Source organism: Homo sapiens, chromosome 7, assembly GCF_000001405.40.
Source record: "Homo sapiens chromosome 7, GRCh38.p14 Primary Assembly".
NCBI lineage: Eukaryota > Metazoa > Chordata > Mammalia > Primates > Hominidae > Homo > Homo sapiens.
In genome coordinates this window covers 1,914,771-1,937,008 of record NC_000007.14, presented here as the reverse complement: position 1 = coordinate 1,937,008, position 22,238 = coordinate 1,914,771, and the positions used below count along the sequence as shown (strand labels likewise).

The window sequence follows — 22,238 nt, the reverse complement described above, 5'->3', positions numbered from 1 at the left end:
TGTGTGACCCGTGCTGTGTGTCTTCCTGGGCCATGGTGACCCATGCTGTGTGTGACCCGTGCTGCGTGTGTGCCTGGGCCATGGTGACCTGTGCTGTGTGTGTTCCTGCAGGGTGACTATGACCAGAGCAGGACCAAAGTGCTGCACATGAGCCTGAACCCCACCAGTGTGGCCAGGCAGCGCCTGCGCGAGGACCACAGCCAGCTGCAGGCGGAGTGCGAGCGACTGCGCGGGCTCCTGCGCGCCATGGAGAGAGGAGGCACCGTCCCAGCCGACCTTGAGGCTGCCGCCGCGAGTCTGCCATCGTCCAAGGAGGTGGCAGGTAGGCACCCCCCACCCCCGGTCCCTGCCATCCTCGACCTTCCGTGGGTAGGTCCATCCGTGCGCCTTTGGGGCAGCCTCAGGCGCCCCTGCCTGTCATCCCCAGAGGGTTTGTCCTCCCCTGTGGGCAGCCGGGTCTGGTGGTTGCTGGGGCAGAGCACCCTGGCCCCGTGTCCCCATGGCCCCGTGGGGTTGTGCAAACAGGTGGAGCCATCCGAGTCTGCAGGCAGCTGTGGAGAAGCAAGGGGCTGAAATTTCAGGCCCTTAAACTAATTCGTATCATTTGTCAGTTTATATGTACCCCATTAATCACAAGTAAATCCAGTCCTCCACGAAAACAAGTCCATCTCTCACCAGCTTAAGTGTGCTTCATGGCGTCCAGAGAGCCCTTTGAGGCCAAGGCCTGTGGCGTCCCAGGGAAGAATGAGGCCTCCATGAGGGCCAGCAGGGCCTGCCCACACCCTCCAGGTCTACATGAGGCCCACGGCCTTTGGAACGCCAGCCTATCCCCTGATGTGGGGAGGTGGTGCTGGGGTCTGCCCACGCCAAGCCTCGGAGGGTGCTGCCGGGGCTGTGTCGACTCTGCAGGGTGCCCCTGAAGGAGCAGGGCTGGGAGTCCAGAGTCACTGTGCAGTCTGCACCCCCAGCGAGGCTGTGGGGCTCAGGAGACCCCTGCCCCCTGTGTTGCTCTCTGCTGTTGGAGGGAGCTGGGCACTGCCCCACGCTCCTGGTTCTGGGGGGACCTGGGGGAGGGTTCCCTGTCCAGCCCTTAGCAGCAGCCTGGAGCGTGGCCCGGCGTCCCCTTGCTCCTGTGTTAGAGCCACCCGGCTGCCAGCCCCCTCCCTTGGGGGTGTCTGCAGGCTCATCTGTGGTGGGGCCTGGAGGCTGCTGCTTTCTGGCCTTTGGCATCTCGAGGTGATTTCAGACTCAGCTTTCATCCGATGATACCTTCTTCTGTTTCTTCCCACCTACTTGCCATCGCGCCCTGTACTGTGGGAGAGCATTCCCTGTGAGCATGCAGGTGCAGAGGTTGTGTGGCGGTGACTTGTCCGCTTCCCACAGCCCAGCACCCAGGCTGATGTATCAGGAGTGATTGTCCTCTGCCCCGCTCCTTTGTGGGGAGGGTCTTAGGTGGGGTCTTCCCTCCCTCTTGTGCCCCACCCCCATAAGCCAAGACTGCCCTGAGTCTGGGCGCACCCTGCCGGCAGGTAGGGGCTTAGTGGCTGGCTAGCGGGTGGTGTGCCCTCCTGGAGTAGTATGGTGGGGTTGGAGGACAAAAGCCAGAAGGGGGGGCCTGTGTTGCCAGATTGAGGGGCGAGCTGATGGCAGTCGGGGGCTCCTTTCCAGCTCCCCACCTGCACAAGGGCTGCTCCCGGTCTCCACTGTGGCTGTGAGGGCCTGAGCCCCCATGTCCCCAGCCCCCTTTCTGGTCCAGCCGTGGCTCCCTCTCCGCCCTGCATTCTGCAGGTGTTATTGGCAAGTTTCGGAGCTGAGGATGCAGACTTGGAGCCATATTTTTAGGTGGCTCTGCACCCTGGGAGAGGATTTGGGAAGGGGCCTTCCATCCCCTGCTGTCACGGGCCTGTGCCTTGGCTGTGCACCCATTCGCTTGTCTGTTTGTTCCCCTGTTGTCTGGGTCTCTGCCCGTCTCGGGTTTGCCCGTCTGTTCGTTCCCTTGTTGTCTGGGTCTCTGCCCGTCTCGGGTTTGCCCATCTGTTCGTTCCCTTGTTGTCTGGGTCTCTGCCCGTCTCGGGTTCACCCGTCTGTTTGTCCCCCTGTTGTCTGGGTCTCTGCCCGTCTCGGGTTCGCCCGTCTGTTCGTTCACCTGTTGTCTGGGTCTCTGCCTGTCTCGGGTTTGCCCATCTGTTTGTTCCCCTGTTGTCTGGGTGTCTGCCTGTCTCGGGTTCGCTCGTGTGTTCGTTCACCTGTTGTCTGGGTCTCTGCGCATCTCGGGTTCGCCCGTCTGTTCCTTCCCTTTTTGTCTGGGTCTCTGCCTGTCTCGGGTTCGCCCATCTGTTCGTTCCCCTGTTGTCTGGGTGTCTGCCTGTCTCGGGTTCGCCCGTCTGTTCGTTCCCCTGTTGTCTGGGTCTCTGCCTGTCTCGGGTTCGCTCGTGTGTTTGTTCCCCTGTTGTCTGGGTCTCTGCGCATCTCGGGTTCACCTGTCTGTTCCTTTCCTTGTTGTCTGGGTCTCTGCCTGTCTAGGGTTCGCTCGTGTGTTTGTTCACCTGTTATCTGGGTCTCTGCGCATCTTGGGTTCTCCCGTCTGTTCCTTCCCTTGTTGTCTGGGTCTCTGCCTGTCTCGGGTTCGCCCGTCTGTTCGTTAACCTCTTGTCTGGGTCTCTGCGCGTCTCAGGCACGCGGGTGGTCGGCATCTGGCTGTGACAGGTGCCCGGGCCATGGCTGATTGGGAGTGGGGGGTGCGAAGAGGCGTGTCTGAGCTGACCATGGAGAAGTCAGGGCCAGCGTGGTCTGGAAGCAGGAAGGGGAGGATGAGCAGAGGCCTGGGATAGTGGGGGCCGCGCCACATGGCGCCACCAGGAGGTGAGGGTGGGTCGGGCGTCCAGGCCCCAGTGGCTGATGCAGCGCGTGTCTGTGCCCCCAAAAATCACAGTGTTGGTGGCCTCTGTTTTATGTAAGGCCTAACCCCACAGAGGGAGAGGATACAGAGGCAGACTTTTGGAGTCTGGAATTGGCGGGTGAGCAGTGAAAGGACTGAGTAGACTTGGGAAACCGGAATCTAAGCCGGCGGCGGGTGGAGCTGAGAACCCGCCTGAGTTACACCTCAAAACTCCAACGCAGCCCAGGAACTGGCTGCAAGTGGCGTTAGGGGAGGGATGCCACTGACTGAAGCACAGTGGATCTGGAGGCTTGATTGCTGAATTAAGAGATGGGTCCCCGGAACCATCTGTCCATCTGTGTGCCCTGGGCAGTTGCCGCTCCCCGGGAAAGATGAAGACTCCAAAACAAGCCAGCAGTTTATTCTTGGAGCAGTGATACTTAAAGTGCAGTACCCAGGTCGGCCGCTGCCTCCCTGGGAGCCTCTTAGAAATGTGGATTCTCAGGTCTCATCTCAGACTTGCTCAGCCAGAGGCCTGGGGGCGGCCGGCAGTCTGTGCTAGGCAGCCCTACAGACCACGCGGATGCTCAGCGCGTTTGTGGACCGCTGCTCTGGAGAGGGCTGGCAAGGTCCCTGGACAGACCCAAGTCAGGACAACAGGCTTGAACTGAGCCCGGATTGATAGATGCAGGTGTGGGCCTGGATCGCACACCCCCGCCACGTGCCCTGCAGAACACGGGCAGCAGGTGTGACCCTGTAGGCTATGGTGGAAAGACCTCCCTGTGTATCCGAGCAGCCCAGAAGGACCTGGCGTTGGCAGTTCCCCAGCTCGACAGCTCCCATGGATCGCTCCCTGGGGAAAACCGTGGCAGACGGCTCCATGCTCCTACCCGGAGTATCCCTGGGCCCCTAGTGCCCTCCCCTAGTGAGGAGCTGATACCCAGGGATTGTCAGACAGCCCAAGGGAAAGGACAGGAAACGAGCAGGGAAAACAGAGCACAGCGAAACGCAGAGAAACACAGCGTCAGCGGGGAGGGAACCCACTGTCCCAGCAAAGAAAATCTCCAAAAACTGTCTCCTGGATCTCCTCAGAGAGAAGACGGGGCTTCAGCAACCAAACAACAGGGCAGCTTAACACACACCAAGAGAAAGCAGTGAGCAGGGGGAAGGCAAAAGTAGGGAACAGTGAATGGAAATCTAAGAAGATTTGTAAAGTAACGTTGAGAAAGTCTGAAAGTAAAGACAACGAGATGGAAAACAGGAGAAGAGAAGTAAGAACATTAGAGGTACAGCCCACTGTCTGAACAACAGGAACATGGAAGGAGGGAACAGGGAAAAAGCAGATGATAACAGAAGTGCCTCAAGGACGTCTCCCTGAAGGAAGGACGCAGCTCCCTGCCTCCCGGGAGAGGCTCAGACTGGGCTGTCTGTGGTTGGGGATAGACCCGCACAGTGTGCGGCAGCATGAAGATTCAGGACACAGGACGAAAGGAAGACCCTGAGAACTTCAGAGAAGAAACACAGAGGTCACTTGTCAAAGGATCCGGGATCAGTCATCTAGCGTTTCCTAGCAGCAGCACCTCCGAGTTTCTAGCAGAGTGACCTGCATCTCGGGATCTCATAGCCCCCCAGCCCCACATCAGGTCTGAAGGAAGAAGTACGGGCATCTGCAGGGTTCAAGGCCTTAAAAACTTGACGGCCCCGCACCGTCTCTCAGGAAGCTGGCAGAGGATGCACTCCCAAAGGATGAGGGAGTAAACCAGGAAAGAGTGTGGCTGTGGCACGCAGAGCAGACCACAGGGGCTTCTGCCGCGGAAGCAGAGAAGGAGGCCTCAGGCCTGGGGAGCAGCCGGCAGGGGCCAGAACAGGCCAGAGGTTCTGGGATATAGAGCAGAGAAGGAAGCCTTAGGCCTGGGGAGCAGCTGGCAGGGGCCAGAACGGGCCAGAGTTTCTGGGATATAGAGCAGAGAAGGAAGCCCCCAGCCTGGGCAGCCTCCAGCGGGGGCTGGAACCCACCAGAGATTCTAGGACAGAACCTGGTGCGTTGGGTGTCATGATGCGGACCGGAGCTTTCCACACGTGTGTGCCAGGCGTGGGCTGCCATGGACGTTGGTCCCCAGGTCCCTGGGTCACTCTTTGGCAGCCTCCTCCTTCCCTGCGTGCCACACACATTTCTCAGGTTTTAGGTTTGCTGCCCCGCACAAAAAGACTGGGAAGCACCTGTGTAGACAGCTGGCAAAGAGGGATGGCTGCCAAGAGCCATGAGCACCTAGAAGGCTGAGTGCGTGGGAAGCAGGACGACCATTGGCTCTGGGGACAGCAGAGTTGCATGAGAAGCAGCAGAAGCAGCAGTGTCCTGCATTCTGAGCTGGCCCTGAGCAGCCTCACACAGTCGTAAGGGAGCTGAGGCCTGATCTGAACACAGCCCTGAGCCTCATATTAAGAAAGGGGACCAGGAGGAGGGAGACGCGTGTTGCAGGGTGGGAGGGAGGGAGAGCTGAAGCCTCGCTGTCTCTCGGGAAGTCAGCAGGACGTCCGAGCGCTCAAGTCCAGAAGGAGCCACAGAATGTGTATTCCAGAGAAATGCAGTTAATACCGACATGATCGGCTGAGAGGTGAACATGGTGGACTCTGGAGAGAAAGGAAGGAAATGAGAAGTGTGGAGACCGCTGTTCCCTGACACACCCCACAGAATTCCTGGGCTCTTAACTCATGTGCATGTAAATCTAAAGTTAAAAAGAGAAAAGTCCAGGTCACGCCGCTTGCTGCCAGAGAGGGCTGTCCCCTCCCCATTCTCCAGATGAGGAGCAAGGGTGTGCCCGCAGTGTCAGCAGACCCTTGACGTGGACCCCACGACGCGCCCTCGCTCCTGTGACCGTGCGTGGGGTGAGGAGTTGGGGGTGTTCCCGTGGTGTCAGCAGACCCTTGACGTGGACCCCACGACGCGCCCTCGCTCCTGTGACCGTGCGTGGGGTGAGGAGTTGGGGGTGTTCCCACAGCATCAGCAGACCCTTGACATGGACCCCATGATGCGCCCTCGCTCCTGTGACCGTGGGTGGGGTGAGGAGTTGGGGGTGTTCCCGTGGTGTCAGCAGACCCTTGACGTGGACCCCACGACGCGCCCTCGCTCCTGTGACCGTGGGTAGGCTGCCTGCACAGTCCCTGCAAAGGGTGAGATGGCAGGTGTGAGCCTGAGACAGAGACGGATGCTCCTCCCCGGCCTGGCTGGCCCTGAGCATGGGTTAGGGGTGGGTCTCCTGGGTCACGAGAGAGACCAGGGTAAGTTGTGAGGGCTTCAGGCCAGCAGGTCTGCAGATGGCAGGCCTGTCACTGGCTTAAGGGGGAGCCGCGTGGCCTGAGACAGCGCCCAGTGTCCCACCAGGAAGCAAGTCCCAGGGGAGTCCCCTCACACCCTGATCACCCAGCATCTCGGGGGTCAGCAGATGTCTCTTCCTGCTCTGGGGAATCAGGGCCCCCAAGGAACAAGGTGAAGGGGATGTGACGGTGGGACGAAGCAAGGGGACACGTGGCAGTGGGGTGGGCGAGGGGACGCAGCGGTGAGGTGGGGTGAGCGGACACGGTGGTGGGATGGGGTGAGGGGACGTGGCAGTGGGGACGGGGCGAGGGGACGTGGCAGTGGGGGATGGGGCGAGGGGACGTGGCAGTGGGGGATGGGGCGAGGGGACGTGGCAGTGGGGACGGGGCGAGGGGACGTGGCAGTGGGGACGGGGCGAGGGGACGTGGCACTGGGGGATGGGGCGAGGGGACGTGGCACTGGGGGATGGGGCGAGGGGACCTGGCACTGGGGACGGGGCGAGGGGACATGGCATTGGGGGATGGGGCGAGGTGACGTGGCATCGGGGACTGTGCGAGGGGACGTGGCAGTGGGGACGGGGCGAGGGGACGTGGCAGTGGGGACGGGGCGAGGGGACGTGGCAGTGTGGACGTGGTGGTGGGATGTGGCAGTAGGGGACGGGATGAGGGGTTGTGGCAGTGGGGACGGGATGAGGGGACGTGGCAGTGGGGGCAGGGCGAGGGGACGTGGCAGTGGGGACGGGGCGAGGGGACGTGGCAGTGTGGACGTGGTGGTGGGATGTGGCAGTAGGGGACGGGATGAGGGGTTGTGGCAGTGGGGACGGGATGAGGGGACGTGGCAGTGGGGACGGGGCGAGGGGACGTGGCAGTGGGGGACGGGGCGAGGGGACGTGGCAGTGTGGACGTGGTGGTGGGATGTGGCAGTAGGGGACGGGATGAGGGGTTGTGGCAGTGGGGACGGGATGAGGGGACGTGGCAGTGGGGACGGGGCAGGGGACGTGGCAGTGGGGACGGGGCGAGGGGACGTGGCAGTGGGGACGGGGCGAGGGGACGTGGCAGTGGGGACGGGGCGAGGGGACGTGGCAGTGGGGGATGGGCGAGGGGACGTGGCAGCGGGGCTGCAGAGTCAAGAGCTCCCTTTCGTGTTTGCCACGGCTTCCCCAAGGGCTGTCTCTGGTGTGGGCCCCAGACCTCCGGTCAGAGAAGACACAGAAACACATAAAGAGGCCCCTGCTCTCGGGGATCTGAGTCCCTGCTCGGAAGTTCAGGCAGGAACACCCTTGTGATTTTCCTGGTGTCTTTGACAAGGCAGTCACTAAACAACCCTTGCCATCGGCACGGGCCCTTGGCGGATAGGAGCCCCAAAGCCCGGCCTCCCGTGCTGGCTCTGACTCCTCACTCAGCCCCCCTGCCACGTCCAGGCTGGGCCAGGGAGATTGTTAATTGCAGCTTAATTAGGGAATGCATTAATATTAAAATAATCTTAGCAGCACATTGAAGGTGATCAAATTTGTCACTGCCTGTGTGGGCACAGCTGATCCTAGAGGTGTCTTTGGGGAGGAGGGAGGCAGGGGGAGGATGGAGGAGCGAGGAAGAGGGAGAAGAGATACCAGGGAGGAGAAGGGAGGAGGTGGAAGAAAAGAGGGGAGGCCCGGGAGGGGAGGAGGGAGGGGAAGATGGTTGGCCACAGAGTTGCTCTGCCTGGAATCCACCTGCTCGGCCTCAGGGAGGAGGGTGCCCTCGAGGGGAGGCCTGGTTTGGTGTCCCTGCCTGGGCTGAGGACGGGAGCAGTGACTGCCTTTCTGTTGCGTCCTGTGCACTGCTTCTGTCTGTATCGGCGCGTGTCCTCTGCAGTCTCAGGACTCACACTTTTCCTGCTTGGCTGGCGCTGGCCCCACAGGTGGCCTCAGTGAGGTGCCCTAATGGCTGCTCCGTGGACCACCAGGACAAGCACTGTGGAGAGCTACCCATTGGCCTGGCAGTGCCAAGCCAGCTGTGCCCTCCCACGGCCAGAAATCAGTGCCCAGCTCTCACGTGGCACAGGCCTGTGTTTACGTCATGCCCCCACCCCGTGCCACCTGGGCAGGGCCGCCACCTGCCCACGCCTCTGTTTGCTCAGTACAAACACCGTGCAATGCCGACAGCTGAGCGGTTCAAATGGGATGGGGGTGCAGGGGCTCCAGCCCTGTTCGGCAGTTAGTGGGAGTTGGAGAAGAAGGGCTGGCGTCTGAAGTGCAGGACCATGCCTGTTTGGCCCAGTCCTGTGCCAAGCTGAGATCGTCTGCCTGGGTCCTGCCATCTAGGGACCTGCAGGTCATGGGGAACAGTCTCAGGTGTGGCAGGAGTTCCGTCGTGGGCTCCTCTAGGGACCGGTGGGTCGTGGGGAGCAGTGTCAAGTGTGGCAATTCTGTCGTGGGCTCCTCTAGGGACTGGTGGGTGGTGGGGAGCAGTGTCTGGCGTGGCAGGAGTTCCGTCGTGGGCTCCTCTAGGGACCGGCGGGTCGTCGGGAGCAGTGTCAGGTGTGGCAGTTCTGTCGTGGGCTCCTCTAGGGACTGGCGGGTGGTGGGGAGCAGTGTCTGGCGTGGCAGGAGTTCCGTCGTGGGCTCCTTTAGGGACCGGCGGGTGGTGGGGAACAGTCTCAGGCGTGGCGGGAGTTCCGTCATGGGCTCCTCTAGGGACCGGCGGGTCGTGGGGAGCAGCAGCAGGTGTGGCAGGTGTTCCGTCGTGGGCTCCGACTGTAGTGCTGGAGACAGAAGTGATGTGACGTCAGCCAAGGCCTCGGGCACGAGCTGGTGGCTCTCCACTGTCTGGAGAAGTAGCTGCCCCCCACGTGCTGCTTGGTGCTGCCTATTTTTTAATTGAATTGTTAGTATTGAGTTTGGGGTGAATCCAAGTTGAGTATATAGCTGATAAATATCTTCTCCCAGCCCGTGACGAGCCTCTTCATTTTCTGACCCTGTGTTCCTCGGAGCAAATGCTTTTCATCTGGGTGCATGCTGATGATCAGGTTTTCTTTTATAGGGGTCAGATCCAGAAACTCTCTGCATAACTCCAGGCCAAACATATTTTTTCTTGTTTTCTACTAAAAGGTTTTAAGTTCACATTTAAATCTGTGACCCATTTTGAGTTAGTTTTTGCCCATGGTGTGAGCTTGAGTTCAAGCTACTTTTCTTTTTTGTTTTTATATGGATGTCCAATTGTGCCATTATTATTGAACTGACTGTCCTGCCACCATTGAATTATGTTTGCACCTTTGTCCAAAACCAGTTGGCCATGCGTTATGGGGGTCTCTTTCTACACCTTCTCTTCTGTTCCCTTGATCTAAGCGTCTGTTCCTTTGCTGTTAATAACACCCCACGGTATTGATTACTGTAGCTTCGTAGTAAGTCTCGAAATCAGCAGCACAATCCCCCACTTTATGGACAAGATTTACATTCAGCTTGTCTTTACCTGCAAAACGCCTGCTCAGATTTTTAGAGGAATTACTGCATCTGTCAGTCAGTCTGGGGAGCATCTACATCTTGGTTGCAGTGAGTCTTCCGATACATGAACACAATGTAGCTCTCCATTTATTTACGTTCTTCTTATTTTCTTTCATCCACATTTTGTGGTTTTCACCGTACCCACCCACCCCTTTTTTGTTAGAAATACACATGGTTTTGTTGGTTTTATTGTTAGTGTTGGAGCTATGTAATTATTTGTAGGCTTGTTTTTATGGGTCCCAGGTGTTCAGTGCGTGTGTGTAGATGTATGACGGATGTTTATGCTGGCTTTGTAACCCATGACCTTGCTGAACTCACTTCTTACATCTGGGTTAGTTGCTGTTTTGATTTTGTTTTCTAATCCTTTGCAGTCATAGCACCTGTGAATAGGGACAGTTTTGCTTATTTTGTTAAGATCCATATGTCTTCTATTTTGTTTTCTTGCTGTGTTGCCCTGTCTAGGACCTTAGTATGGTGCTGAGTAGGAGATGGGGCAACAGAGATCCTGGCCTTTCTCCTCACCTTGCAGGGAGAGCAGTCCATCCTCCTCCATGAGGCGTGCTGCTAGCTGCAGTTTATTTGTGGTTTTTCCTTATCAAGCTGAAAACGCTCTTTCCATTCTTAGTTTGCTGAGAGTGTTTATCATGTAGGATGTTGGCGTCTGTCAGATGCTTTTCCTGCATCAATTGATGGGATCGTATGTTTTTTTTCCCTTACACCGTTAGTGTGATTGACAGTGTGTCATTGTGATTTTTTTGGGAAGTTTCCAACGTTGAGCCAACTCTGCATTCCTGGAATAAACCCCCCCCTTGGTTATGGCATAGTATTTTTACATGTTGCTGAGTTCATCTTGCTGACATCGTCAGTAATCTTCACGTCTGTGTTCATATTGGTCTGTAGCTTTCTTGTACTGCCCTTGTCTGGTTGTAGTATACACGTAATGAATGAAGTGAATTGGAAGTATTCCCCCTTTTATGTCCTAGAGGAGATTATATAGAATTGGTGTTACTTCTTTAAATGTTTTGTAGAATTTGCTGGTGAAACCATCTGGGCCTAGGGATTGTGGTTGTGGCAGGTTCTAATCATTACAGGAATAGTGAGTTCTTTCATCTCAGCTGAATGTTGGTAGAATGTAGGTTTTGGGGTTTTTTTTATTGTGAGGAACTGGTTCATTATATCTGTGATCAAATGTATGAGCAGTGAATTGTCTGTGCTCTTGCCTCGCTGATTTTATCGTGCCTGCTGGGTTCGTAGCGGTACTCCTTCCTTCCTGATACTGGTCGTTTATGTCTTTTTTTTTCTTTTTTCTTTTTTTGTCTGTTAGCCTTTCTGGAGATGTATAAATTTCACTGATCTCCTTAGAGACCTAGTTTTTGGTTTCATTGATATTTTGCTGTTGTAGTTTTGTGTTTCCTTCCTTCTGCCTGCTTTAGTTTTAGTTTGCTCTCCTTTTTTTCTGGCCTCTTCAGGTGGAAGATTAGATTGCATATTTGAGATCTTTTCTGCTTTCCAACGTAAGCGTTCCGTGTTAGAAATTTGCATCTGAGTGCTGCATTAGCAGCATTTCACACATTTTGATAATGTTGTATTTTTATGTGTGTTCAGTTCAAAACATTTTCAAATTTCCATTAAGATGTACCATAGTTTGAACGTGGCCTCCAAAGTCCACGTGTTGGAAACTTCATCCCAGAGTGATGGTGTTGGGAGGTGGGGCCTCCTGGGAGGCGTTGAGGTCACGTGGGCTCCACCTTGGTGAGTGGATTCGTGCTGTTGTAAAAGGGGCTTCTGTTAGTTGGCTCTCTGTATCTGCCCTCCTGCCGTCCACCATGTGATGGCGCCTCAGGAAAGCCCTTGCCAGAAGCTGGTGCCTTGATCTCGGACTTGCCAGCCTCCAGAACTGTGAGCCTATAAACTTCGGGTCGTTATAAATTAATCTCAGGTATTCTGTGATAGCGCCGCCAATAGACTAGGATGCCTGCTGTGATCCATACAGATTTAGAAGGATGCTTTTTAATTTCAAAGTGTCTCTCCCTGATTTTCTGGGTAATTTCTGTTCAATTTCATTATGTTGAGGGAACGCACTTTCTACGATTCACTTTCTTTGCAATTTAAAGTTTATTTGGTAGCTGATAATTTGATAACCTCAAAATGTCCCATGTGCACCTGATAGGTATGTGTGTTCTGCCGATTAATAGATGTGTTTTGGCCATTTATAGTTAATGTAATTTTTTATGCATTTGGATTTAGGTACATTTTATGATTAGTTTTCTGTTTGTCCTCCATTTTTTATTCCCGTTTTCTCTTTCCTACCTATTTCAGGTTATTTGGCCTTTTTTATACTCCATTTTGATGTATCTATGTCTTTATTATATCTATTTGTATACTTTTAAAGTGATTTTTCTGTGGTTTACAATGTGCAAGCTTAACATTTCACGGTGCACTTATAATTCATATTTTATCATTTCAGGTGGAAACGTCAGGATTTCACCACGACGTAGGCTTCTCCCTGCCTCCCTTTATGTTGTAGTAGTCCTATGTACTTACTCTCTATATGTGGAAAACCCCACCAAGAAATATTACAATTCTTGCTCTTAACTGTCATGCCTATTTTATAAAACATAAGAGGCAAAAAGTAGTTTGTGGTTTTGCCTCTTCCTTCTTTCCTGGCGTTCCTGGGTTCCCCTGGGATCATTTCTGGTTTGGCAGGACTTCCTTCGGGGCTTCTTTAGAGTAGGTTCTCTCAGCGTTTGCTTGCCCAGCAGTGTCCTCACCCCACCTCGTTACTGAAGGATACCATTGCTGGATGTGGGGTTCTGGGAGAGTGGTTCTTGTCTCCTAGCACTTTAAAAATCGACACTGTTTCCCCATCTTCTGGCTTCTGTGGTTTCTGATGAGCAACCTGCAGTCACTCAAAGAAATCTCCCCTTTCCCCTCCGTGCAGATGAGAGAGGCTTTCAGACACTCCAAGTGTGGTGGTGTTTTAAGTTAAAGGACGGGAAGGAATTCATGTGCCCACATTGTCTGCTGGGTTCCAGCGTGTGTGGGTGTAATGCCTGCCACCCTGCCGCGAGAAGGACTCCTGTGGTGATGTGCTTTCTACACCAAGCTTAGTGGCACGGCATCATCTCTAAGATACTGTGAAAAGTTAAGTCTGTGTTTTCCAATCACTTGCTTCTTGGAGCGTCTTTAAAATCTCACTCGATAATTCCAGCATCTCCGTCATCTTGGCGCCTGTTGGTCGTGTTTTCCCTGGCAGGTTTCTGTTTTCCCGGTTCTTTTCATGCTGCTTAATTTTAGATTGCATTCTGGATGTTTTGAATATCCCGAGATTCTAGGTCTTTCTTAAGTTCTCTGGAGAATGTAAATTTCTGTTGGTTTCAGCATTTCCTGATGGCACTTCCATTTCAGGCTCTTTGCCGAGTTTCCCAGGCCATTGAACCTTGTGTCCTCCACAGTCCTGGCTGGGTCCTGGTGTGGTCTAGCTCAGAGTCCAACTCTCACACCTGTGGGGTGCTGATTAGGGTCAGAGCCCCATGCCCAGCTTAGAGGGCACCTTCCAGAGCCACTCTGAGCACCCAGCACTTCCCAGGTGACCCAGGGTTCCCTTCACTGCCTTCTGGCCACAGAGCCAGGCAAGGCTTGCCCACTGTGCTGTGCAGTCAGTCCCACGGCCACAGCCGCCTTCACGGCCAACGCCAGCCACAGCGTTGGAACAGGGCAGGACATGCCCCACGCACCCTGTCTGGAGGGAGGGGCCCACTCTTGGGCTCTAGGCGTCTGTCCAGCTGTGGCTGTACCTCCGCAGGATTGCCCGGGTGCCGGGGCGGAAGAGCGCGGGGTTGCCCGGCTGCCGGGGCGGAAGAGCGCGGGGGTGCCAGGGTGCCGGGGCGGAAGAGCGCAGGATTGCCTGGGTGTCAGGGTAGAAGAGGATGGAGACAGACAGAATTTCCCACACTGCCTCTCAGGCTTCTCTTGACAAGCTGTGTGCGTCTTGTGCTCACTCCCAGGTTTTAGGGGTCCCCAAGTCCAGACTGGGTAGCACCAGGGCAAACACCCAACCAGTGACAGAAACTCCAGCAAGCTTCAACCACAGACTGCAGAACTCACCCAGTATGAAATAGATCGTCTCATTAATCCTAGAACCATTAAATAACTGAATCCACAATCAAAAAGCTTCCAAAAAAGGATATCTCCAGGCCCAGATGGTTTTCTGGTGAATTCTACCAAACACTTAAAGAAAACTTAGCACCAATTTGCCAAAACTCTCCAAGAAAACAGAAGAGGGAGCACTTCCCAACTCACTCTGTGAAGCAAGCATTTACCCCAACTTCAAAACCAGTGGCAAAACTGAAGAACACTGCGGGGCTATTTTCTGTTTTCTGAGAGTGCAAGGCTGGGTTGGTGTCGAGCGTCAGCTGGTACAATCCATCGCGTCAGCTCGCCAAAAGGAAAAATTACATGGCCAAACCAACGGATGCACAAATGCAGTCAGCGAGGCCCAACACACGTTCATGGGGAAACTCGGCAAACCAGGAGAAGCCGAGAACCCCCAAGTTTGCCAAAGAGCATCTGCAGAAACCGTGCAGCTCACCGCAGACCTGGCTGGTGAGGGACTGGGAAACGCCGACTCAGGCAGAGGCCTTCCCTCTCACCGCCTTGGTCCATGTCCCAGAGCCCCAGATGGGCAGCAGGGTGAGGAGGTCGAAGGCACACGGACTGGAAAGGCAGGACCGACCCTTTTCCTCTTCACAGGTGGCGTGATTATGTCGAAAATCACAAGATAAAAACGAGTCGAGCGAGTTCACCCGGGATTTCTGTGTGTGGCTCTTGTATCCTGCAACCTTGCTGAGCTCACTTTATGAGAAATATGTCCGTGTGTCTGTGTAGTTCTGTAAATATTACACAATAGCAGTGCACATGTGGAAACCGAAATTAAAAACATGCCGTTTCTGTTCACTCTTCTGAAGATGAAATCTGCAGGCATCACTAACACCACAGCACGCCGACAACGGCAAGCTGCTGAGGCGAGGCGTGGGAGGTCTGTGTGAATGGAGACTCTGCCTTCGTGGCTCGTGGGGTGCAGCGCAGTAAAGACGCGGCGCGGCCAGGTCCAGCTGCATGTCTCTCGCAGCTGGAAGCAGGGCGCTCGCCGCTGGGCTGGTGATGCTAGTGGTTCTGGGTTCCGACCTCAGCCCGCCTGCAGCCTGTGGCTCTCCAGGTCTGTAGTCGGCTGCTGGCTGCACTCCCTCCATCGTCAGAGCTGCCTCAGGGAGAGACAGGGCTGATTGGTTTCTTCATCTTTCCCAGAACCTGAACCCCTCGTCTTCAGGTTCTCTCTTATCTGTTAATTCCGTTGCTTTTAAGCTTAGTAAGTACTTTAGTGATTTGATAAATAATTCTATTTTCTTCTGGGCTCTTTGAGCTTATTTTTATATTTAAAGATTTAATCTACTTGAAACTTATTTTGGTGTATGGTATGAGGTCGAGATCTAAATTGATTTTTTTTCCAGATCACTAAACAATTGCCCTAGGGCCATTTATCTCAGAATCCTTCCTTCCCCGTAGATTTATACCTTCATCTTTATTAAAACTTAGGCAAAATCGGGTCTGTATTCAGATCTTTTGTTTTTTTTAATTTCATTTATCCTTTTTTTTGACTTAAAGGTTTTCTTACCTGTTTATTATTCTAAGTTAATTTTAGAATTACTTTGTCACGGCCAGGCGCGGTGGCTCATGCCTGTAATCCCAGCACTGAGGCTGAGGCGGGTGGATCACCTGAGGTCGGGAGTTCAAGACCAGCCTGGCCAACAAGGTGAAACCCTGTCTCTACTAAAAACACAAAACGCCAGGCGTGGCGGGAGGGTGTCTGTAGTCCCAGCTACAGGTACTATAGATGCTGAGGTGGGAGAATCGCCTGAACCTGGGGGATGGAGGTTGCAGTAAGCCAAAATCACACCATTGCACTCCAGCCTGGGCAACAGAGATAGACCCTGTCTCCAAAAAGAAAAAAAAAAAAAGAATTAGTCAAATTCAAAAAAAAGGTATCAAGGTTTTATTTTTTACTGAAATTACACTGAAGTTATAGGTTAATCTAGTGGAAGAATCTTTGGCTTTCCAGCGTCTGTGTCTGAGCAGGGAAGGGCGCCTCAGGGCCGCCTCCCTCACCGATACCACGTCTCAGACCCGCAGCGTGCCGGGGTTCCCTTTGCAGGCTCCGGTCCAGGCAGGAGTGTGTCATCTGGGCTGCCATCTGCTGGGCAGGGGTCCTGAGTCCCCACTGCTGGCTCCAGGCCGCCTCTCCGCCCTCTTCCCACCTCCCCACCCTCTCTTTGGGTTGCCTGTCTCGTCGTCTCCAGGGCTCAGAGCCGAGCTTTGCAGGAGGAGCAGGGAACATGAATCTGCACCCTTTTCTGTCTGGACCGGATGTCCCGTGAATCTTTTTTATTCAGTCAATGAAGATTAGGGTTTTTTGCTGTCGGTTTTTAAATGGATACACAGTGTTCGTGCATCGTTATGGGGTGTAGGTGATGTTGTCTTGCATGCCCAGAATGGGCAGTGGCCACACAGGGGTATTTGGGGTATCCGTCACCTCATGGACTGGTCATTTCTAAGTGTTGGGAAGACCTCCTGTCCTCTCTTCTCACTGTTTTAAAGTAGACAGCACATGTGGCTGACTGTAGTCCGCCCCCACTCGGCTGTGGAACGTGAGGTCTTACTCCTTCCATCTGGCTGTGCGTCTGTACCCACTGACCAGCCTCCGTTCATCCCCGCCCACCCCACACCTGCACCCTCCTTCTCCCCCAACTCCATGCGATGGGTTCCCCCCGCTCCCGTGGGTGAGAGCGTGCAGCGGGTCTTCCTGTTTTAACCACTTCCCTTGGTGCCTCTGAGGAATCGCTGGGTCCACAACACAGTGTGAGGCTGCCACGGCAGCCGAGTCTCCCCGACTTTCTCTGCCCCTGCTCCTCCCACACACTGTCGCTGCTCCATCTGCAGACAACACAGCCCCGGGCGAGCTTACTGGGCAGGGTTCTGCCGAAACACAGAACTCGTAGAATGTGTGTACACACGCACATGCACACGCACGCACGCACGCACACGGAGATGCTTGTTACAGGGAGTTGGCTCACGCAATGACAGGCAAGTCCCGAGAGCTGCAGGGTTGGGGGCAAGCCGGGGACCCAGGAGCACTCATGTACTGGGGAAGGACAGGGATGCTGGGCCCACACAGCCCCGGCTTCTGACTCTGGGGGTTGCTGTCTCCTAACGCTGCTGCAGCCCTGCTGTGCGCCCTCCTGGGGACCTCCGTGTCACTGGGGACCTCCGTGTCACTGGAGCTGTTGGCACTGGCCCTCTATAAGCGTTGGGTGGACTGGAGGAGGGGTGTGGGTAAGGCTGACTCCGCCCTGCCACCCCTGGGCACTTTGCAACTTCAGCTCCCTCCCCAGAGTCATCTGCAGTTTCTTTTTGTTGATCAAAGTTAAATTTCAGTTCCAAAGCAAAGTTGCTCCTGAGCTGATGGAGGAGGGGTTGCCACACACTGTCAGCTGTTTTGGACTTGGGCCATGGTCCCAGCTCTGCACCAGCAGCCATGTGACCTTGGGTTCAGCTCTCTCAGCTCTGACATGTGGCTCACTCCAATCACGGTCATTGTGGAGGGTGTGTTTATAGCAGAGGCACCGCTGGCCCATGATGTGTGCTCAGCATGATGGTGATGGCGACGATGGCGGCTGTGGCCTGAGCCCATTGGCCTCTGGGCCCGTGCAGGAGCCCATTTGGTAGAAGCTGAGCCAGGCTGGTGGGTAGAGAAACAAAAGTGGCTCCCAATGAGCCCATTCCCCAGTGCGGTCCTCCCTTTGTGTGGTAGGTCCCCAGCGAGGACGGCAGGCTTGGCTTTACAGTTCTGCCTTCAGTGCCAGCCACCTGGACCTCCTGCACCAGGTCAGGGAGAGAAGGCAGAGGAGACCTTGCAGGCTGCAGGTGTCCCTGGCTCCAACACACCGTGTGTCCATCTGAGGCCGGGGCAGCCGTGTTGGACGGCCTGGGAGCCTGAGGTCAGAAGGCTTGGATGGAGGTCCTGCTCCACGTCGTAACAGTTGGGGGTCTGGGTGGACCCTTTTCTCTCTGCATCTCAGCTTCCCCATTTGAGAAACGGGACCACCGGCCCAGGTCCTGGGGCAGTTGTGAGCGTCTGTCCCCGCACCAAGGGTGAGCGTGACAGGCGGACGATCTCTGCAGACTCCTGGGACTGAACGATAGGAGGAGGTCCCTGTCCTTGCTGGGGAGGGGCCGGATCACGGCGGCATGGGCCGGAGGGAACTGCCCTGCTGGCAAGAGCCGCCAGAGCCTGGGGTGACCCAGAGACAGGACGGGTGTTGGAAGGATCAGTGCCCCTGCCCTGCCACGTGCTCTCACCCTGTGCACTCATTGAGGCGCCCTGTAGAGAGGGGAGGGGAGGGGAGGGGGGCTGGGGCCAGGAGTAGCCACAGCACCAGTCGCCCTGGGGCCGGGAGCTGTGGTCTCCTCAGGTGGGCCCAAGTGCAGTCCAGGTGGGGCAGTGGCCTCAGAGCACAGTGGCTTTGCTGAAGGCTGGCTGGCACTCCAGTTAAACACCCTAGGCCCTTCTCTCCATGCTGTTCTTTGGTGTTGGTGTTGGGTAATAAAGGCCAGCACCATTAATTAGGTGTGTAATTAGAGTTGTAAAGGAATCATGGGATTTAATCACAGGGTTTGCAGGTGAGCGGGGTAGAGGAAGGGTACCACCCTCTGTGCTGGGCACACCCGCCTGGCTGCCTGCAAACAGATCCTCCCTGGACTGGGCGCCCCCCATGCCGTGGACCCGGCCTGGGCCTCGGAGCTCCTGGGCAGTGCGGAGGGCTGAAGCACCGTCCCCAGTGGCGTGACTGCGGTTGTGTGTTGGGAACATGCTCGGGGGCCCCAAGACGGAGCCGAGGGAGGATCCAGACAGACGCTCCCAGAACCAGGTTCTGCAGCACCAGTGAGAAGTCAGCAGAGGTGTGGGGAGGGGACTGCGCTGGGGCTGAGGTCCCAGGGCTGGGACACAGGTGGGCCTCACTGCAGCAGGGCCAGAGACCAGGCTGGGGCGGTCCCCACTGGGCCATCGTGGGGCTTCTGGGCTCCATCCTGAGGGTCACACAGAGCCTCGGAGGCATTCTGTCAATTTGGAAGGTGGCCTGGCTGCAGAGTGGAGCACGGTCCGGGGCAGGCTGAGCCGGGCGCTGGCCGTGGACTGGGCAGAGGTGCTGGTCTGCGAGGTGGGGTGTGATATGTGGGCCCACGATTCAGGTTGTAGGGATACAGCGCTGCCTGGGCCCCTCCCCAGCCCCACATCTAGTCTGCTGGGCTCTGGGCTGAACCACAGGGTGGGGCCTGATGCAACACAGTCAGGGCCGCCCTCCGTCCCCGCTAGCCCTTCTCTTTGCTGCTCTGGGGGCTTTGTCTTCCTGGGGAACCAGAGATAGGTAAGAATGTTCCTGGCACAGCCAGGTGGCCCCACCCTTCCTGCTGTGTCTGGCAGAAGTGCCCAGGATGACTTCTCTGTCCTGGCTGTGCACGGCCACACGCCCGGGCAGCGTGTGCCAGCCACAGGGACTGCTGAGGAGCCCTCTTGCTCTTGCTACGGTCCCCAGCCGTGGCAAGCAGCTCCGTCGCCGCGACACCCTTCTTCTCTCCTCTTTCTTTCTGGCACGTCTGTAAACTTTGCTTGTAACTCAAGCCAAGTACCCAATTAGGGATTTCTTCACAGTTGCATTTAAACCTGATTGAAGTGGGAGCTCTTCAGTGCCTGACACATCCAACAGGCGCTTCCCCTGAGCCCCGGCCAGGCGGTGCTGAGGGCGGAGAGGGGCGGCGCTGCTGGGAGCTCTGGCTGTCTGGAGGGGAGGTGCGCCCTTCACCCGGGGTGGGCACCCAGCCCTGTCTCGGCCCCCATGTCCTTATCTCTGGTCAGGGGTGTGGCCCCTCATGCCCCAGGCTGTCATGAGGCTCCTGTGAGCACAGCGCACGTGTGCAGGGCTGGGTGGTCTGCATGCTAGGTGGGCAGCCGAGCGGGAGGCCCATGTGCTGGCAGTGCAGGGCGGGTGGCTCCATGCCGCGGCTCCCTCGCTGGACCCCAGCGCCAAGCCCACACTGTTCTGTCCGTGTGTGTTCTGAGCATCGCCTGGACGCTCGGCCCTGGGGCACATGGATGGAGGGAACTGGGTGCCTGGTCCAGGGAGGGTAACCAACCTCGAGCTGTGGGCATCCTTGTCCTGGAAAAGCAGGAGGAAAACTGCAGTGGGGAGTGGAGGACATTCCTGTCACAAGATGCTGTGATGACTGGAGGACACTGGAGAAGCCGTGTCCTCTGCCAGCCCCAGCCTCGGTTCTCGTTGGCATGGGAGATGTGCCAGGGTCGTGCCTCGTAGGTGAATGGGGGTGCCCTGGTCTCGCTTCTCGCTGGCTCGGGAGATGCGCCAGGGTCGTGCCTGGTAGGCAAATGGGGGTGCCCGGGCTGTTCATGCAGTGGAGTTCCTGGGAGCCCAGCCTGGCCCCCACCGTGGGATCGGGACTACTGTCATTTCTACTCATGAGGGAGGGGAGCTGCAGGGAGGCAACAAGACACCCGCAGCACAGGGCATGGACACGAATTCATCTCCCCGCCAGTGATCATCCCCCAGGCCTGGCCTGGGCAGCTGCTGACTCCCTTGCAGGGCCTGGAGGGTATGCGTAGTCCGAGGGGCTAAGTCGAGTCCCTTCCTTGAGGGCTCACTGTCTGCTGGGCGTGTGTCCCCGCCTCCCCCGCCATGCCTCATGCTCTGGCGTGTGACTTGCTCCTCTCTCTATACCGCCCAGCGTGCTGTCCCCGCCTCGTGCCATGACGTGTGTTTTGCTCCTCTTTCTGTACTGCCCAGCGTGCTGCCTAGCACAGACGGACCACAATTCACTCATCCAGTCCTCAGCTGAGGGACGTCTGGGTGGTTCCACTTTTTGGCTGTCATGAGTCATGCTGTGGACGTTGTGGACGTTTGGGTACAAGTCTTTGTGTGGATACAGTTTTCGTTCCTCCAGACGGGAGGGGAATTTCCACATTCTAGGGAGGAGAGGAGCTGCCTTACGGTTTCCGAGGCGGCTTCACCCGTTTGCATGTCCCACGTGAGGCTCCAGGGGCCCCACACCCTCCCGGTGTTGGTGGCATCTCTCTTTCTGACCACAGCCCCACTGGTGGGTGCGGAGTGTGTGGGGATGCCTGCACTTCCTCACAGGTGAGGATGATGGGCACCGACGTGGCTTGTTAGCCTCTCCTAGGTCATCTTCTGCAAAATACCTACTTAAATCCCTGCCATTTTCGACTGGATTGTGTTCTCATCATTTTCTCAATGCTTTCTTTTGATAAGCAGTTTTAAATCTCGATGAAGTATAACGAATCACTTTTTCCTGTGGTAGTGATGGTGGTAGTGCTTTGTCCCAAGAATTCCCTGCTGACCCCAGTGTTGAATCGACCTTAGACTAAGCCCCTTATCCCGCTGGTTCTGTTCGTGGCGTGAGGGGAGGTCCACATCTCACTGTCTCCGTGTGGACATTGGGTCGTTTTGGCCCCGCTGGCGGAAAAGACTTTTCTTTCCCCGTGGAGTTGCTTTCACTTGCTTTTTGAAAAGCACTCAACGCTGAACATTTCGTCCTGGCTGTCTTCTGTGCCGGCGACACATTTGCTTGTACCCGCAGCAGTCCCACGCAGCCGACCATCGGTCCTTCCTTGACTGTGAGACTTGGAGGCAGGCAGCGTGCGTCCTCCAGCCCGCCGTGGAACACCGCTCCACGTACGTCCCGCGTCGGCCTCCTGTGGCGTTCCTCGCTGCCCCTGACCGTCCTCAGCACCTCTGCCTGCGCCGTCCCCTGGCCCTGCAGCTTTCTGTCCCGGGAAGCGCGTGGCTTTTCCCCTAAGTCTGCCCCAGGTCTCCTTCCCAGCCAGGTGCTGCCAGGACGCCTTTTCGGACCGCAGCCCTCCCCCTCCCATCTCCCCGTCCCTCCCGGCTGCGGTTCTCTGTAGCACTTCCGCTCCAAGGTGCTACTGTTGCACTTCGTTTATTTTTTATCTGTTTCCCTAGTTGAAAAGCAACATCCATTAGGGCAGGGGGTTCATCTCTCCATACACACTGTGTCCTCAGGGCCTGGGGTGTTACCAGGCGCCCAGCACCTCTCCACACATACCTGCTGGGTGAATGAATAGCTGAGCAGCGCTTCTGAGGACCCTGGCACCAGGGTTGCTCCCAGTGAGACCCCAGTTCCTGCTGCTCTGTGGCCCAGCAGGGAGGGCTCGGCTCTGGAAAACCAGAGGCCCACACTATCCTTAGATGCCACCGCATGAGGCTCCTGTTGCTGCCATGACAAACCAGCACTGACTGAGTTACTCAACACAGCAGGGCCGGCGCGGCACTCATGCCTGTCATCCCAACGCTTTGGGAGGCCCAGGTACAGGGGATTGCCAGAGGCTCGGTTGGAGACCAGCCTGGGCAGCATAGCAAGACCCTATTTATAAAAATAATAATAATAATTAGCCGGGT

At 56.2% G+C, this 22,238-nt stretch overlaps 1 protein-coding gene across 6 annotated transcripts in view, besides 2 other annotated features; it reads left to right on the top strand.

The window, feature by feature from the left end:
* The window catches only part of MAD1L1 (mitotic arrest deficient 1 like 1), a 417,151-nt gene that overhangs the window by 295,937 nt on the left and 98,976 nt on the right, over positions 1-22,238 (top strand). For all 6 annotated transcript variants that reach the window (NM_001304524.2, NM_001304523.2, NM_001013837.2 and 3 more), the window contains one exon: positions 112-322. In NM_001304524.2, the coding sequence (NP_001291453.1) occupies positions 112-322 (211 nt within the window). The remainder of the gene's footprint in view (positions 1-111; positions 323-22,238) is intronic.
* Positions 4,926-5,095: an enhancer, noted in NCBI's record as "experimental_98173 CRE fragment used in MPRA reporter constructs". NCBI's record gives its function as "activates a minimal promoter by MPRAs in K562 erythroleukemia cells, with activity observed for both the introgressed and non-introgressed 7:1971635 variant alleles {active_cell/tissue: K562}" and the evidence as "EXISTENCE:reporter gene assay evidence [ECO:0000049][PMID:34662402]".
* Positions 5,349-6,297: an enhancer, noted in NCBI's record as "H3K4me1 hESC enhancer chr7:1970348-1971296 (GRCh37/hg19 assembly coordinates)". NCBI's record gives its function as "activates a minimal SCP1, AML or CMV promoter by ChIP-STARR-seq in primed H9 embryonic stem cells {active_cell/tissue: H9 hESC(primed)}" and the evidence as "EXISTENCE:reporter gene assay evidence [ECO:0000049][PMID:30033119]".